The following is a 19,147-nucleotide window of genomic DNA, read 5'->3' on the forward strand; positions in this document are numbered from 1 at the left end:
ATAAGAAAACAAATTTAGTGGGGTTCATGGGGGGATGAAGATAAAAAGTGTCACAGCCCAGGAAGCAAAAGAGCCTTGGGATTTTTCCCTGGACATGACAGGGACACTGCTTAATGAAGCCTGAGAACTCAGATATTTCAGTTCCTTAAACCAGCATCCAGTGAAAGTTAAAAAGCCAATTTTATAACTGAAAAAGAAGTGATTTTTCTTCGAAGTTTCCGTTCATCTTGACTTTTGTCACAGTGTTTCAGAAAGAACTGTGGATATGAGAAGTTTAGGTCGGGGCCTTTGGAAACCTTGGGCAGAGTGGCTGGCAGGGCCCAGGAGGTCTAATGGGTTATGATAGGAAATTACATGTGGAGGGGAGCAGGGGCAGAGTGGGGAGTCTCAGCTATATCTGGACCTGGTAATAGAAACCATGAAGTTTGGAAACTAAAAGTCAAAGCGAGTATGAGTTGATGCAGGATGCAAAGTTACCTAAAGCAGAGTTCAGCAAAATTGAAGCCTCTAGTAAGCTGCTGTGGAAATCTGACTAAGAAAGTGGCAACAGGCATCAAAACATCAGCACGACAAAGAGAAACTGTTAGGGACATCTGCCTGGCTTAACGGAGGCTCACATCCCACAGAGTGGCTCACCCAGGCCGGAGTGGATGAGAAATGGGCTGTGGGTTTAAAATGGTCTAGAATGGCACGTCTCAAAATTTCTTCCAGAATCACCAGGGATGTTTGTTCAACATACAGGTTTTGGGGCCCTCACTTAAAATGGATTAATTGCAATATCCTGGGACCAAAGCCAGGAACTGCATTTTTAATGAGTTCCCTAGGTAATTTGAGAGTCAATAATACTCGAGATGAGTTTGACCAGAGAGCACCAATCTGCTCTGAAGCTCTAGGATGTTGTGAACATTTGTGAGCCTTCTACTATGTATTGGGAATACAATGATGAATACGACATTACAGTGGGGGACCAGAAAAATAAATGAAGAATTTCAATACAATAGTAGAGATAGGTAGAAGATGCTATGGGGCCTTGGCTAAGGATGATGGGGAAAGCTTCGCAGAGCAGGTCATGTTTGACCAGGGTATTAAAGACAAAGGGGAATTTTCCAAAGAAAGAAGAACCATTCCCAGCATGTACTGGGTGGAGATGGAAGTGCATGGAAACTGAAAGGCAGCAGCTGGGGCAGTGAGCCCAGGGAAGCCAGATCTTGAAGATGGTTTCAAGAGTGATGTGTGGAAGAATGGATGCATTCTTACTGTCTTGAGAAACGTGAAGAGGAAGCACCTGGGTCAGTCTTTGGAGGCTTGCAGGGTGTCTGATAGAGGAGGTCCTCTGTGCTCATGCTAGTTTCTGCCCTGTGAGAAGGTATGATAGCGAGCAAGTTGTCAGTCTGCTGGGGGAGACAGAACGGAAACAAATATACAGAATTTTTCAAAAGTGGTTAGTGCCCTGAGGAGAATAAAGCAGTGATTTCTCTTTTTGGGAATACAGTCAGCTAGATTATTTGGACAAGCCCTCCTGCTGAAAACAAAAGCTTCTTGAAAGTATGGAAGGGCTGACAAGATCATGAAACCAAGGGGAAACAGGAACTGGGAGAGGCAAATGGAGCAGTGGAACTTCTCATCTTGCAAACCTGAACTTCGGGAGGCAAGCCAAGGTTGAAGCTCAAGCCTACCCAGGTGGAGATGCTGAGAGGAGGCCCTCAGGATGGGATGGACCCAGCCTGCCTGTGGCTGAGATTCCCAGAGCTGCCTGCTGCCTGTCCTTCCCGAGGCTCTCTTTTTATTCAGGTCTTCCTTCTGGCTATCCAATCTCCTGCTAGTAAAAATACTTCTGTATTTTTCAAGTTGCTCACTATCAGTTTCCTTGCCTTCAACCAAAGATCCCCAATCAGCACATTCTTTTTCATATTTTCTCTTTTAATTTTGAAGTCATTTCAAATGTACAGAAATCTTGCAAGAAGCATATGGAGAACATTTCCCCCTCGAATCATTTTTAAGTTGCAGACCTGATACCATGACTTTGGAATATTTTAGCATGTATTTGCTACATACTAGAACATTCTTCCACATAGACATAATACAACCATCAAAATCAAGAAATTAATATTGATTCATTAATATCATCGAAACTTCAGACCTGTGGAAGTTTCACCAGTTATCCTAATAGCATCCTTCATAGCAAATAATGCAGCCCAAGATCATGTTTTGTGTTAACTGTCATGTCTCTTTCATCTCCTTCAGTCCAGGACCATTTCTAGTCTTCCTTGGCTATCATGACCTTGACACTCTGGAAGATTATAGGACAATTTTAAAATTATGTAAAAATCTTGTTTCTCATCAAATTTGTATTCATCAGTTTCAGCAACAATATGTTTCTTGGCTCAATTGTTACTATGATAATTATCATATAATGATTTTCTAATCCTATTAGTATTTCTACAGTTATCAGTTGGCATTATATTGTTGTAAGAAATAGCTTTTTCATTCATTCATTCATCTGACTCCTATTGTATTCAATGAATTGTAATCTACTGATATTACTTATTTTGGTGCTCCACATGGTTCTAGATTTGGCCAGTGGGAGCTCTTTCAGTCTGGCTCCTGTATCCCTTTGACACATACCCATTATTCTTTGAGTTCTTCCTTACTTTCTGACATAATTTAATTTTCCAGACCCATCCTGTACTTTCCCTGTCCCGGCCCCAGAATCAGACATCTCTTCAAGTAGCACTGGTTCCTTTTAATGGGAATGGTATTTGGAAACCAAGATCTGCACACTGGGCTTGCCCATTGCTACACACACACACACACACACGCACACACACAGATCTATATTTGTTCCTATATCTCTCCATACTGAGACCCATGCGTTTATACTAATACTTCCAATTCCAATCCAACACCACATTTGTAACCACCTTATTTAACAACAAGAAATTTGGCTCCAGTTATCCATAATATATTTCGCTGTTGGATCAACCAACCTGGTATGTACTCTCTCTCCTGTAGGCATCACTTTCTCCTACCCTTGCCCCATGCAGATGTGGTCCTGACCTTTCTCCTGCTCTAAACCCCAACTCTGGGCTGCCACTGTCCCCCCTTTACCATGTGGGCCCCCACCTTACTCAGCTCAGGCTCCAGTGCTCCTCATCAAACCACCTCAGGACCCCCAACCTGTTCATGTTCCTCCTCAATGGAGGAGCCCCGTTCATCCCATTTAGGCTCCAACACCTGCTGTTGGCCATGGCCACACCCTGCCCTCCACACAGACGCTCCAGATGCTTGCCTTGCTTGGCCCATATAATGGCTTTTGGATTGGAGTGTCTGGAAAGGCGGAAAGGCAGTCAGGAAAAGCAGGAAGGCAGAAAGGCAGTCAGGAAAAGCAGGAAGGTAGAAAGGCAAGCAGGAAGCTGATATGTTCTTATTGGGGATAATTAGAAAAAGAGTAAACTGAGGAATATAAAAAGTTGGTAACAGAGACAGCAGAGAAGGGGTGGAAGTTAATTTAGTAAAGCCTCAGAATAAGTCAAGGAAAATGGAAACAGACCTTGGAATTGCACAGGAGGCATCGAGGAGAGAGAGGGGTGAGCTGCGTGTAAGAGGAAGGGAGATGGGGCAGTAGATGCTTTGATATGAGGTTATGATGGATGGAGTTAATCTGCATTGTTGAAGAGGGAATTTAGAGATATCCAACAAGTAGGCTGAATAGAGGTTATTTAAAACTTTTTTTTCTTATAAAATAGCCAAGTTATTCTGGGCCCTTGGGAACATGGCAATTTCCCAGAGGCAGGATTTAGGAACTCTGAGTCATAAGGCCCATTATTGTGCAAATTTCTACAACAAAGCAAAATGAATTTATAAACATCCTATTGAAGCTCTAGGAAAAGTAAGCAAGAAAGTTTTTAGCAAGTGAGGAATAGTACATGGAAATTAGTAATGCAGACTCACTGTTATTAATTGAAGGTATGTCAAATGTCATTTATTTCTTTTTTTTTTTTTTTTACCTTTATGTCTCAAGTGGGAGTCCCTAAGTTTCAAGCTATTTCTTTAAGGTGTCACTCCCTAATAGTTCTAAGAAATGTAATCTATGCAAAATGGCTGGCTCCAGAAATTCCTATAAAGCAGCAAGAGCCTATGAGAACATCTAATAGAAATATGACTGGTGAATAATTTGATCTTCTTTCACAGAAGTTAACATTTTAAAAGAATTAATTTCATCACTTACATTTTAATGTTTGTTTCTATTTAAATATTTGACATTAAATTTATATATAATGAGATTTCTAACAGCTTAATTTTATGCCATTTTCCTGTCATAAAAGGAGAGAAATGCTATTAAAACAAAAAAGAAAAGAAAAGAAACATTTTAGCTGCCTAACTATGCCCAGAAACTGGTTATGAATCAAGATGGTATATTCCTAATTAGCAGCTGTTTTATCTCCATTATTTTTCTAGTAAAAGAAAATGTAGAAATATTTTAGCTTTTACAAAGTAACTGTTTTTTTAGCCAGAATTATGAGTATTTTGTATGTTTGACATAAGTATTAAAAGAACTCTCTATTGTCACAAGGTGCTTCAGAATCTCTAAATCTAAAATTATTCTAAAAATAAAACTTATTTTAAAAAATGGTTCAGAGGACTCTAAAAGAAGAAAACACAATGGCCAAAAATAATGTCATATCAACAGATTCACCTCATGAATTGCAAAAAGGATAAAAAGGTAGGACCAAAGTTTAGAGAAATGATGTTTCCTTGACCATGAGTCAAGCAAGTGGCAGACCACACTTCCCCCATTCTCTAAGAAGGATAACATTTAAGGAAAAGACCTGAGAAGTCATGTAGTCCAACCCAACATTATGAAACCTGAGGAAACTAAAGTCCAGAGAGACTGAGGAGCTTGTCTGAGGTGAGGAACCCTTAGGACCGAGCTGGTTCTGGAGGTGAACCAGCCTCTGGGGCAGCCACTTTCCTTGTACCCCTTTGCTTCCTTAGTGAGTCTGTGCAGTTCTCCCTCTTACTCCGAATTATTCTTGGCTTTGCCTTTTTAGACTTTTAAAGTATCTTTAAAGATATCAAGGCATAATCCATACCAATTTGAACTAATCTTGCATAATTATAAAAGAGCAGCAGAAATGAAGAGCAAGAGGAGGTTGCAGAAGGGCACCCCCTAGGATGTGTGTGTGCAGTGTGGCTGGGAGAGAATTTTCTGGTACACGGAAAGCTGGAATGTGTGTTTTTGCAGCCACTGTGTGCCCTTTCTTTTAATTAGTTGGCTTTTACTTAATAAAACAGTTTTGGCCTTGGTGCATTAAATAATAACGATTGTAATCATAATAGCCAGTGATAAACTGTATGTACATTGCATACCAATTAAAATGCTTGTATAGTCAGATTTTTTTTAACTTTCTTTATAAAAGGGGGAAGAAAGGGGGAGAAATTTTATTCACAAAGGAATCAGGGAAGATTAAAAGCTGAGCAGAATGTAATATCTCTGAATTACCTTCTGACCTTTTTGAGGCTGCAACCAGTATGTACATGTTTTGGATTTTGTCTTTTTCTTTTTTCCTTACTTCATATCAGGCTTCCACAGCTGGACACAGTCCCTAAGCTTATCAGATTAATGCAACCCTGATAGATCCCCATTACATTTATATCCCCTAATTTTATCAATTGGCACTTGGATTGTTTCCAGTTTTCAGAATCTATAAACAGCCCTGCTAGGAACTTCTTTATGCAACTTACCTTTAGCTGTCGTTTAGGTTAACTCCTCATGATGTACCTCCCAAAGTGAAATTGTAAAGTGTTGCATGTAAACATCTCCTGGTTCTCTTTTTCATATTGCGGGATTGCTCTCCAGATTGAAGCAACTTACAATGTCAACAGTAATCGTTGTATTTTTCCACAGCATTGTGAACAGTGGGGCTTATTATTTTTATTTATTTTAACAGGAATTTGATGTCACCTCCAAGATTTTAAAATCTGCATTCTTGAATTGTTACTGAGGCAGTGCATTTTTTATAGTTTGCCATTTTTTGCATGTATTTCTCTTTTCTGATTATAGAATAAGGCCTTACATATATGTACCAATTATGTATACAGAATGCAAAACTTCAGTTACATTTATCACATTTCCCCCATTCTGTTGCGTTTCTACTTATTTAAATAGATTTTACCATATTTTGTTTTCATTTTTATATTTATACAAATATCCATCTTTTCTCTGATGGCTTCAATATTTTCAGTATGTAGAAGAGTTTCTCCTCTCTACAGAGATTCCATATAGTTTCTCCAATTTTATTTTCATTCTTAATTGCTGAAGTCTTTAAACTCAGCAGGAATTTACTTCAGTATATTGTAATACTGGATTCATATCACTTTTTTTTCAACACAGATTTACTGTGTCCCTCCTCTGCACCCAGCTCTGTGCTAGGCATTGGTGATATTAAGAAAGGCGACATCTTCAGGGCAGTTCCAGCCCTCAGGGATCTTTCAGTCTACTGTGCTATGCTGGTGAGGTTGCAGAACTGCAGAGCTGTGTTAGGATGTTAATAAGTAGAGGAACACCAAGCAGTTTCCTAACTCAGCTGTGAGGAGTCAAGGAAAGACTCCCCCAGGAAAGGAATGTCTAATCTGAAAACTGAAAATCAAGTAGGAGTTGGCCAGGTAACAAGGAAACAGGGAGAAAGACTGTTTTAGGCAGGGGAATAGCAAATGCAAAGCCTGCAAGAAGAGCATGGTGCTTTCACAGGGAAGTAAAGAAAGAGATCAAGGGTTGAGCAGGATTGTTGTACTAAAGGTACTTTGGAAAGGTAAAAGCAAGGTCACTTTGTACTCACCTATAATTGCTGACTGCCAAAATGAATGGTTCCTAGCTTGCCACATTTTGCTACACTCAATCAATGAAGCCCTGGGATCCTCATACAAGTAACCAGCCCTAGGCAAAAATAGAGCCCTGGAGAAGTGAGGTTCACTTCTGATGCAGCAGAATCAAAGAGAGCAGGAAAAAGAGTGGATGTTTCGTTTGTCTTGACATTTTAGCTTTCTCCAAATAAGCTCTTGAAGTTAGGGGATCCTGTCATGACCCAGGAAGTGTCCCTACCACCATTTCTATGCCAGCAGGAAAGCCTGGACCCAAGAGAGGAAGTATAATGGACAGATGAGTGGCACCAATACTTTCCAAGAAACTCTGAGAAATAGGCCTCTTTCTTAAGAACCTGGTGCTACAAATACTTAATTCAGTTGGCTTAAGTGAATGGGTCAGGAAGGAATTGAGATATATTTGGAATGGAGTTTTTGTCAAATTGCGAATAATTGAGCACAGATTGTAAGGCCAGGAAAGGGTAACAGAATTACTTAATTTTCTAGGATTTGCTTTTTTCACTCCAGATGTGTTCCTAAGATTCATCCATATTGTTGCTTACTGCTACAGTTTATTCATGTTGGCAGATATATAATATTCCATTATGTAAATATTTTATACTTTACGTATCTACTCTCCTGTTGATGGACCTTTAGATTGCTTATGTATAGTCTGTAATTTGTATTTTCACTTTCATTAAGGTATATATTGCTAAATGAGTATTTCTAATTTTAAGATAATCATATTTATCAGTAGATTTCTTCATAGTACTTTTGTGTGTGTTCTTTCCTATTTTGAGGCCATATCTTATCTACTTACCTATTTACCTTTTCTACTAAGTTTAAAACTTTGCTTTTAACGTTAAGCACTGAATCTACATGAACTGATTTTTTGGTATGGTGTGAAGAAAGGGTTCTATTTCATTTGTTTTTCCATGTGGATGACCACTCCTCCCAGATCCACTTATTAAACAGTCATTTCCTACACTTCCCACTGATCTGCAAAGCCACCTCTATTATCCATCAAATTTCTGTATATGCAAGAATCTCATTTTTGGGTGCTCTGTTCTATGTTATTGATCAATTTGTCTATCCCTGTATCAATGCTATGCTGATGAACTATTGCACCTTCTTAACAAATTCTGTCTGGTAGAGCACATTTCCTTTGTTTTTCCTCTTTGAAAATGCCTTAATTATTCTTGGCTCTTTATTTTTTCTTATACATTTTATGCCTGTCCTCTCTTCAGTAGGGCTTTGAGTATACCGTGATTTCACCCCAGCAGACATCTGTACTCCTTCTGCCTTGAGGCTGTGATTTTTGTAGCATGGTGGAGGACAGAACAGGACAGGAGCAGCTCCTCCCTCCTTCACCTTCTCACAGATAAGAAGTAGGCCCTCGCCCCAGGCTCCAGCATGTCCCATTCAAACCAGCTTAAAATAGTCTTTAGCTTCCTCTGTCCCATTTCTAGGTTTATTTCTTTTCATTATTCCTTATATTACAAGTTTTCTTTGCAAAAGTTGGGGAACCAGCTAATCATCATCTTTGCAGGAACTGGAAATATATTTGAATTTGTTATATTTTTGAAGAACTAAGTACAGGTTCTGTTGATACATTTTATTGTCTCTATTTCTCCATTTTGTTGATTTTTAATTTCATTATTCTTTCCTTGTTTATTCTGGCTTGCTTTTTCATCCCCATTTAACAATTTTAAAATTGAACATCATTTCCCCTGAAAAAAAAGACTGTAGACATTTAGAGCAATAAATTCTCTATTGGCATCACAGTGTTCCACAAATATTAACGTAGTTTATTTGTATTTTTTGTGTTAAAACATTTTGTGCCAGGTGTTGTGGATTTCTTCCAAGACTCGGTACTGTTTAAGAACTTTCCTTCCTCTTTTTTTAATGTTCATGGAATAAGGCACATTTTAATTCTTAAAAATTTTCAATTTTATCGCACTAGGAACTGAGAATGTGGCAAGCTGAATTTTTGACTTTTTGTTTTTATTAAATACACATTACATGCCAGAATATGGTCCCTTTCATGAAAGTTTCTTGAGTATACTTGCAAATACCTTTAGTTATTAGTAAAGTCTTCTCATTTGTCTATTACAACATTATTTATTGTATTGTTAACCCCCATAATCTCTTTACTCACTTTTTAAATTGCCTTCATTTGCTTCATATTATTAATTTTGACCTTGGTCTATACTCTCGTACATTTCTCCTCTTTGAATGGCTGTGATACCAAGAATCACTCTGTGTATATGTATGTTTACGTATGTACATATATGTATGTATGTAATTGGTTCTGTTTCTCTGGATAGCCTTTCTTCTGTTTTCAATTTTCCATTGCTTCTTATAGCCGTCTTTGTAGAGTAAGAACTTGTCAAATTATTTCAGTCATTAGGTCTTGGAATATGCTCCTTTCAGAGAGGAGAGCCGGCAGCTGGCGAGCACTGTGATCGCACCTACTTTCTGGTTTGTGCACATTCTCCTCAAGCCTCCTCCGCGCCTCACTCAAGGCAAAGTTTGATCTTCTTCTTCTCCTTATTTTAAACATTATCCCTTTTTATTCTCTGTGATTTGGAGGAGTATTAATTTGTCTTTAATGTCTAAAGCTTGGAAAGTCATTTTGTCTGAGTGGAGACTTCCTTTGAGGATTACTCTCAAGCGCAACCCCATGCCTGTCCCTGCTTTAATACTAAGGCTCGCCTGTCATTCAAGTGAACGGAATCGTTGTCCTTTCTCTGGCTGTGTGGTCTTTACATTTCTGGCCTTTTCGAGTCTATCGGGTTCAGTTATTCACCGAGGGGATCTCCTCTCTCTTTTAGGTCCATGGGTTTATCTTGGACTGTGATCTTTGGCCTGAGAATTTACTTTGGTTTGGGTTTGCCATGCAAGGACATCTTCAGGATTGCTCCTTCTTAGCTGGGTTTTTCCCAGCTATTGCCCTAGGGAATGGTTGAAGTTACGGAGGTTTAGGGAATCTGTAAGAAAAAGAGGTTAGAGAGAGAATAGCAAAGGGCAAATAAGTGCACCCTGGCCTGTGTCTTAGAAGGTATCTGGGATGGGACTATGAGGAAGAATAGACAGTGAAAGGGTAGAAGGATGAGTAAAGGGGAAGGAGAAGGAGGGCCAGAGTTGAACATTATAACTGGGTGCCCCTACAATTTGGAATAACTAATATGCCCTGTTTTTCCCTAGAGTACAAATATCGGAGATCCTCTCCACATCTCTGTCTTTTCAAAATAGAGTTCCCAAAGTTCTGACCATCTCCTTTCAAGTATTTAACTTGTTAGTGTTCAGGGTTCCCTAGTACTTATGAGTTTTAGGGCTGGGGACGGCTCAGTCTGGCTCAGTCTTGTCTCATTTTTCTGACTGTGAATAAGTAGAAAATCATCTTGGAGAGTTGTGTCCAAATAGCAGAACCTGGGTGACGTCCCAGTGATTCAAGTCCTTCAGATCCTGATGACTCAGAAAAGGCAGGCTGTGGAGGTTTGAGCCACTGTGGATGAGCACCCCAGCTGGTTCAGAAACACTGCGGGCAAGGTGTGTTAGCTTTCTTCTGTGGCTGAAGCTCAGGGGTGGAGTGAAATTCTCAGCTATACAGAGGGGAGCACTCATGATGCTGGGGAAGCCGTCCTGTACCCAGGGCTCAGACCACACTGCTGCAGGCTGGTCCTCGTCTCCTGGAGGCTAGTCCTGGTCTTTGTGTAAATGCTCTCTCAGCCATTGTTTGAGAAGTGAGTTTCCAGAATCACATTCATTCACAGGGTGCTCGAGTCCCAGAAAGCTGGATCCTGCATGCTCTCCCACTAGTGAGGAGATCCCCCAGGTTACATATCAAGCTACTGACAGGGCCAAAGCAGGAGTCAGAGGCCCAGGTCAGAGTACAGTCCCAGTACAAGACTCCTTCTTGCCTCCCTGATCACCCACACCTCTCCCACCATGGGCACTCTTTCCCCCAGCCCCTCTAAGGGAGGCCCCCTTTAGGAACAGCCAGGTGATTTCTTTCTCTCACCTGGCATGTAGTTGGCAACTTTTCTAACAAACACAGATTTTATCCATTCAGAGTGCCCTTCTGGTGGGACCTCCACCATCTATCACTGAATCCAAAGGAAGAAACCATTCATCAAGAAAGGGCACAAAAAGGAGGGTGGCCAGCTAGAGAGAGAACTGAGAAATTCAGTCAATATTGTTCCACTGATGACCTGGAAGAGCACAATTTCAGTAAGTTAGATCAACAGAAGCTGTACTGGAGGGAGTTTTGAAGGAAATGAGAAAATAGAGACAGCAGGTGTATTCTTAGATTATAGGAATTTAGTAGTAAAGAGAAATATATGTCAGCTATGGACACTGGGTGATTGTTTGATTTATCTTATCTCTGGTTATAGCCTTTCTAGTGTAAACCCCATGGTACTGCATACACTACTAGAATTGCCTTTTCTGCTTGGAAATATGCTGACTGGCCCAACTCCTACATATATTGCAGCAGGAGTCTCAGTATATGGCTCAGCAGGTTGTAGATTGCACAATGCATGCAAATGGTGTGAATGATGTTCCTGAGAATTGTACAGTGTACAGCCTGAGCAACCATATACAGCAACCCTGATTTTAGCACTCTGTTTTGAAGCAGAGAAGTAAGTATGTGCTACATTGTTTGTTTGACTCTGAATATATTCCTTTTTGTCTGGCAAGGTTGGGGAAATGATGCATCTGTCTTCTCTCATTTATGGCCAGAGTATAAATATCATTAAAAAGTAAATAATGACAAAAATAAATCTTATAAGCATATCTCTGACAGTAGTAGTAGCTGTCTTGAGGAGAACATATGGTCATTGGCTGAGTATGGGATAATAAACACATAGAGAGAAATTCAATAGAAACTCAAGGTCATAAATGTAATGATTCTCCATTGGAGAGCAGTACACAGTTATTATTTTCAAGTAATATTCCTTGCTTCACAGGAGTAAACAAGGCTGGATACTTAAAACATCTTGCAAAATCATTACCTGGTAGAAGCATTAAGCAGGCTTGAATTTAATAGCATTAAAGCTACAGGGAAAAATGTAAAAATTGTTCTTAGAAAATTGATCTTAATATATATTAACATTCTGATATATGTCAAGTATTAAAGTTGAACACATGAGTGTATATGGAAAATCAGAAAATGAAAAAATAACTTAATCTAAACTTCTCATTTTACAGAAGAAGAAACCGGACATAACAAGTAATTTGTCTAAAGTCACACAACTAGTTTGTATCAAAATTGGAACTAGACATTTAGATCCTTACTAAATGCAGCCACCAGCAGCTATTTACAAAATCATATTCTAATACATAAAAAATCTTCTAAATAAGGGAGTTTAGATGAATTGTTTTGCAAATTAAATCCATATGTATCCTACTTCAAGCAAATCTGAAATGTAAAATTACAGATTTACAAAATATATAAATTAGAAGATAACTTTAAGGTGATTATATGTATTACATATATAGATGTATATATAATAATAACTGGAATCATATATATATATGATCCCCTTAAATAGCAAACGCTTCCTTTTCTGGATTCTTTTACTTAAAATGCAACCTGACTCACAAAAGTTCAGTCAGCTTACACATTTAAAAAAGAATCTACTGTACAAAGCAAAGTTTATCTGTAAGTGTCATCCAATTTGTAACTTTTAAAACTCCCATTTTCATATGTTCTACAGAGAAGCATAGCACTAAAAAGGATTTATTAGTTTTCTTGAATATCTGGACCATCTTAAAGATTAGCACTTCAGAGCTGGCAAGCACAAGACTTCTAATTATGGCTCTAGCTGTAGTAGGATTCTGAATACATTTTCCCACATCTATTTCCTGAACCTTCTGCATTTGAGTGTTTTCCTTAGTGATGAATGAATGTGTAGAATATGGATGTTTTTTGCATGTGATCTTGACCTAAGTATTATGGATGCAAATGGTATCAGATAAGTTTCCTTGTTCCAAGTTTCATGTCAGAATTCAGCTCCTATTGAACAGAGCCCTGTTTGGCTGAATAGAGAGAAATTTTCTAAGATTGGTAGAAATGGCCTCAAAAGATTTTGAATTCCATTGGTGTTCAGTATGTTGCAATAATGAAATTTTGCTGAAATTTCCTTTAATATTCAGGAATCGGTTGAGCAGAGAGGGATTTTATCAGAAATTTAATTCCCACTGACCCCACAGGGTGGCTGGGAGAATCCAATAAGATGATGGGAGCAAAAGTGCCTTGTAAATGGTAAAGAACCACATAAAAATGCCATGTAACCAGATTTAAGCTTTAGGTTGGCCAGACATGTGTTGAGTAAGGACATTACTACAGGAGCATTAGTAAGGGGATATTATCACAGCTATGCTGCCCCGAACATGCCCCATCTCCTCTAATCTCAGAAGCTAAGCAGGGCAGGGCCTGGCTAGTACTTGGATGGGAGAAAGGGAACATCAGAGGACTTGCAGAGTCATGGTAGTGAGATGATTTTAACCCCTTCTGCTTTGGGAAGGGCAGGAATGTACTATTTACGGTTTGCAGTCCAGCGCAAGAGCCCCAGATAGGAGGTGGTTGTGGTCTAGAGTTGGCTAGTCTAGGGTCAGCAAGGCCCCAGATGTCAAAACATCAAAAATACAGAAAATAAAAAGGACATGCTTACTACAAGAGAACACGTTAAATGAAGATTTCTACTGCTTAGGCTGATGGCCTGTCAACACAACCTCCCAGTGTATACTAAAGAGACTGTGAAGTCCCCTCAAATGACCCCATCTTGGGATGGCTTAGAGGCCTAGGAGGTGGGGCAAGTACCCAGGGGAGGAGGCAGGGGGCAGATGCCACACAGGGGCCTAAGAAGCTGTGGAAAGTCTGAAAAGGACTTCCTTAGGAGGACTCTTGATGTGGTGATTAACTGACATAATAACCTTTTTCCTACCAGTTTTGGAGATTGCTGAGAAACACTTTCTCTACCTGGTCAGATTTAAAGGAGCACTGTGATATGGGTTTTTAATTTGATGCAGTACTCAGCAGGTATAACAACAATTGTGTTTTTCTTACTAGAAAGACCTTTCTCTTGTGTCTTTTAAGGTTTCGTAGAGAAAAGGTGGATCACTCTGTGTTCTTTTCTCCTTTAGGCCATTTCTAAAGAAAAAAAAATCAGGTCTTCTGTGCTCACAATGCCTTAGCTATATATGTAGGTATATAGGATCAACAACTTATGCAAGAGAACTCAGTCATGCCAGGAAGACCAGCAAAAGCCTGGTTCCTGCAACTGTTCTGGGACCAAGCCTCCCTTCTTCCTGCCAGTGGTGGGCCATGGCCAGGGAAATGTAAATTTGCCATTTAAAGATCCTAGCCTTCTTTGGTTTGAACATCTCCATTGAGTAAATGATCTACATCAGCCTTATGGGCTTCTCTACCCTGGCATCTCTCAGTCAAAATGGTGTCTGGATGAGGGCAGGAGCTTTAGGGGAAGGAAGTTGGTCTGTGTGGGTTTCTGTGTGGTCGCCGGGTTTCTCTTCCTCTGTGGGGATGCCATTAGTCTCCTTGGTCACTGGGTATCCTGCTCGTGTCTGCTGTCATAGTCCACCCTGGGGTAAGCTTCTGGTCTTTCTAGGGGACACATCAGGGACAGGCTATTTCCTATCCCATCTCCTGCGGGCTCTCCTCTGAACTGCTCTTTTTCCAACAGTAGGGCTTTCCCCATCCTTCCTGTCTGGTGGGCTACCCCCTACTCCCTTCCCAGCAGAGCCTCACTTTTCTTCCCTGTGCGATGAACTTCCCCTGATTTGGGCAGCTCACATCCCCATCTTCCTTGGCACACTAAACCTTACAGCTGAGTCTCAATAGCTGCTGGGACCACGGAGAAAACCCAGCTTCCTTATGAGGAAACATATGTTTTTACATGTTGTCACAAATGCACAAGTGTTTATAATGAGTGGAATTACTGGGAAGAAAGGCCACCTTAAACTAAGAAAAGGTTGTCACTATTGAAGCTTTTCATTTTCAAATGCAGCTATCCCATCCTTTCATACCTGAGAGTGGGATTGCCAGAATTAATTACCTGGAGGCTCTTGTGTGGTGGTTCTCATGCCTGGCTGCTGAGGGGATTCTAGAATATTGGTGTCCATGCTCAAGTCCCACTCACAACCAATTAAATCAGAATCTTTGGGCCTGGGGCCTGGGCTTTAGTATTATTTTAAAAGCTCCCTGTTGATTATAATATGCAAGAAGGGTTGAGAATAACTGCCTGATACCTCAGACCAGCAGCATCGACCTCACCTGGGTACTTTGTCAGACATGCAGAATCTCAATCCCAAGCCCAGACCCGCAGACCCAGAATCAGCATTTCAGCAAGATCCGCAAGGGAGTCCTGTGAGAAGTGCTGATAGTTTCTGGGTCCTTCCCTGGAGTCAGGACTCAGCGTGAACTCAAGGACCTGCAAGGCTCTGTATTGGACAGACCAAACCCTGCCTTGTGTTTCTCTGCCTCATACCTCAATATTGCTTTGTGAGTGAAATTAAGTTATAATGTTCATCAAGTGCAGCTTCAGTGATGACAACAGCCAGTCCAAGGTATGCACAGAGAGAGAGAGAGAGAGACAGAGAGAGACAGAGAAACAGAGAGAGAGACAGAGAGAGAGAGAGCGGCCCATGTGCTTGGCATTGGTGGCTTGGTCACCAGTGAGATAAACATGCTCCCAAGCCCCTTTGAGTTAAGGTGTGGTTGGCCTTTTGCTTATTTGAGCCCCAGGGCTACCTCCCTCTGGACTTCCTCTCTCTCACTTTTCTGGATTGCAGAAATAAGTGTTGTTCAAACCAGAGAGGTGGGAAGTGTGAGTGTGGAACAATGCATGGCCTTGGAGGCAGACAGACCTGAGTCCAAATTCCAGTTTCCCATGGAACTTTGTGCCATCCCATATCTCACCAACTCCCTATTATTAATTGGTGCTCAGGGAGTGACACTGTTTCTCTTATGGGTATCAAAGAAAAACTCAGTCCGAGGCAATAATTAGCCAAGGCTGATTTTTCATAAACTTGTGGCAGGGGCACCCATTTCCTGTTCTTTCATTTCAGCAGGGGTTCAAGGGTGTTTGAAGGAAAGTGAGGTTTTTAGGGTAAAAAGGAGGAAACACCAAGGCTGTGTCTGATTGGCGACTGTTCTATTAGGGTGGGATTTTTTAAGGCAGGGAACACTCTTCATTTGGCCTTCGGGTACATTTGACAGTCAAGTTTGGCTATAAGGGGACAAGCTAGCAGGTTGGGGACATTTCAAAAGAGGAAGGAAGGTTTTCTGTGGCTTGGCCATTTCCCAGAACCAATGGGGATTGATGATGAGGTGCTTTTTCAGGGTCACTGCCACAGCAGGTTTTTTTTCTCACAAAATTGCAGAGAGGATATTATTTGCATCTGAGGCCTGGACATGGCAGGCAACAATAGAAAAGTCCATCTTCCCGGGCTCCATCTCCTAGGGAAGCTGGAGTCTACTTTGTTGTTTTAATTCACAAATCTACCTTCATTCCCCTTGCTAGGAGCACAGAGGCTTATTCACTCTGAGTTTCAAGGTCAGATGTTTCACCTTGGGGGTTTTATTCCCTGCCTACAGCTGGAAAAGTGATAGTTTACAATTATGTCTTTCAAACAGATTTCTCTTCAAATAAAAACAAAGAAGTATGAGGTGAAACTCACCTAATGACAGCAACGCAGCACTGAAAAAAAAAAAAAGCTGGGGCATTAAATCACCATCCTTTTGGGTGACCTGTGTTAAATTAAATGTCATCCAAGTCATATAAATTATTCCCAGAGATGGATGAGCCACTTCTGCCTTTTTAACTACCGGTAGCCATCCCCACTGTTATGAAAGCAGTGAATTGCCTTTTGATGGAAATTGTGTGGTTTTGGCTGTCTTCAAGTTACCCATCTAATCGACATTGCTGGCTAAGAATTGGAAGAGAGTTTAAGGCTCTAATATAGGCCCTTTGGAGCATGTGGAATGCCACATCCTTGCATGTTTTCCAATCCTCTATACTTCTTGTGCCTTCTAGGAAAACTAGGCTTTTACAGAGTGACACGTGCCCTTGCTAATCCCAACTTTAAGACAAAGCAAGCCTTTGGAATGTTCTTATTTAAGTATACTGATGTCGGCACTGGGGAAACCTTACCAAGTCATCCAGCCACCTCCCCTCCCCACTGAGGGCTTCAGCATTCCTCACCTACTTTTTACCATCTCCCCTTCTCCTGGCTACCACCTTGAAGCTGGTTACTAGTATGGGAAATTGGGATCAGTTTGGAGGAAAAGAGTTTCTGAAAGTGGGAAGAAGGGAAGCCAGTCCTCTCAAATAATAAGGATTTTTGCAAAATTCTAGTGTGCCTGGGGCAAGAATAAGTGATTCAAGTTTGTATTTTTGGGGAGGAGAATATGGATCAGTAGATGAGGACTTGTAGAGGTCAAGGACAGGAAAGGAACATGTAGGAACCCAGCCTGGGGAGAAGGCCTCCTTAGAGTGAGTAACTGTCCCCAAAATACAAGTGAGTCCATCTGTGATGAATTTTGACACTGGATCATATTCAGAGACACATAGTGAAGACATCATAAAGTCACGATCCATAATTCAAATCTTTACACAGTCTCTGAGGGAAGTATGTCCCTAATGCAGCAAACTATCTTAAAATCCTCTCTCTCTCTAACCCCTTCTCAATTGATTCTATGCAGAATGCAGCTAATTCCTGAATCTCTCCTTTCCATTCCCTTGACTGTTAAGCCCAAACTTCCAAAATCCTGCATGACTCTTCTTTTCTCTGTCCATGTTACCCAGGATTTCTAGATGGTTTTACTTTTTCTTCTTTTATTTCAACATTTTTGCTTTTCTTTTCCTTTTCAAAATATATCTTCTTCCACTATGCATGACCTCAATGTGTGCAATGAAGTGTGAGCTGGGGGATGGACAGAGGGGAGAATGCCCTCTGAATTTTCAGACATTCCTAATTTTTGTCCGTGTCTCATCATGTTAAGGGGAAGATGTGTGAATCGATCTTGGAGGAACCAAGGGGTCCCAAAGGGTACAGAAGAAGGAGGAAGAGCAAAGGGATAAAAGCAGAGGAGACATGCTGTCTCTTTCTCCTGGGTTGATTGCCTGGGAACAGGCACCTCATGGGGTGCTTCTGAATGAAGGCCAGTGAGTTTGGTCATTGTAGGGAGGGCTGCTTCTCCTTCACAAGCATACACTTGAGTGCTGGAGAGCAAAGGCATTGGCTTTCTACTGAACAAGGGCTCTTAGAGAAAGAGCTCTGGCCATGACACAGAAATGGGAGAGAGGGCAGGAAAGACAGACGAGCCTGGAGTTTAGGGCTGGGGAAGTACTGCCTAACCTGGGATAAAGCAGAAAGGATTTGGAAGAGACTTAAAGAGGCATCAGACCATGCCATGCTAATTGGAGCAGGAGAGACTATGAACCCATAACTTACTCTTCTGTAACTGGGTTATGCTCAAAGATGCTTCTTCCTTCCCCAGCTCATCAGAGGACCATGTATAGCTATTTTTCCCAGGGCAGTGCCTGACCCCTTCTCATGGGGGGTCAGATTAGGATCTAGGGGCTTGAGAAGATGAGAAGGGTGAGAGGGCATGTGTTATTTGAGATCTGAGTTTGCAACAGTGCTTGAGAATCTTTCCTTCCTTCCTTAATTCAGCAATCATTAGTTCAGTGTATCTGATATGCCAAGCACTGTGCTGGTCATGTCACAGATGGAAAGCTGAGCTTCTGATGCCCAGCAACTGACCTGAGGTCACCAGTCAGACATGAGCAGAGCGGGTCTCCAACCCTCAGGACCTTCGCTATCACATCCCAAGGCCTTCTTCTCCCTTAATCAATCAAGCCACTCTGTGAATTCTAGTCATTTGCATATTTTCTTCTCTGTGAATGCAAAGGATCTCAGCCTAGAGTGGAATGACTTATCCTTGATAGCCCAGTAACTTTCTATTCCTAAACCCAGTGGACCTTCCCAAGATGTGAGCTATTGAAAATCTCTTCTTTAATTAAAAAGTTTTCCTTAGATTGAGCATAGCCCTGTGGGCATTTCTCATACCATTAGTCACTGGACACATTCAAGAAATGCATCTATGTTTCTGGTAAGTTGCATACAACTTGTTTTCTGTACACAACACCAGTCAGGGCTGAGCTCTGGACTATCTGTGCATGTTAGCAGCTGCAAATTCTAAACTGGGCAAAATGCCACTTGTTTGAAACACTGATAGGGTGCATCTAGGGGGTAATGG

The 19,147-nt window shown here is 40.9% G+C and overlaps 1 pseudogene, besides 2 other annotated features; it reads left to right on the top strand.

Annotated features, from left to right (window-relative positions):
- Positions 295 to 883: an enhancer, noted in NCBI's record as "OCT4-NANOG hESC enhancer chr7:24159385-24159973 (GRCh37/hg19 assembly coordinates)". NCBI's record gives its function as "activates a minimal SCP1, AML or CMV promoter by ChIP-STARR-seq in primed H9 embryonic stem cells {active_cell/tissue: H9 hESC(primed)}" and the evidence as "EXISTENCE:reporter gene assay evidence [ECO:0000049][PMID:30033119]".
- Positions 9,711 to 10,910: an enhancer, noted in NCBI's record as "P300/CBP strongly-dependent group 1 enhancer chr7:24168801-24170000 (GRCh37/hg19 assembly coordinates)". NCBI's record gives its function as "activates an origin of replication core promoter dependent on BRD2, BRD4, P300/CBP, MED14 and CDK7 cofactors, with strong dependence on P300/CBP, by STARR-seq in HCT116 cells {active_cell/tissue: HCT116}" and the evidence as "EXISTENCE:reporter gene assay evidence [ECO:0000049][PMID:35650434]".
- On the top strand, positions 13,234 to 13,366 carry RNA5SP228 (RNA, 5S ribosomal pseudogene 228; annotated as a pseudogene).

This window comes from Homo sapiens, chromosome 7, assembly GCF_000001405.40.
Source record: "Homo sapiens chromosome 7, GRCh38.p14 Primary Assembly".
Lineage (NCBI taxonomy): Eukaryota > Metazoa > Chordata > Mammalia > Primates > Hominidae > Homo > Homo sapiens.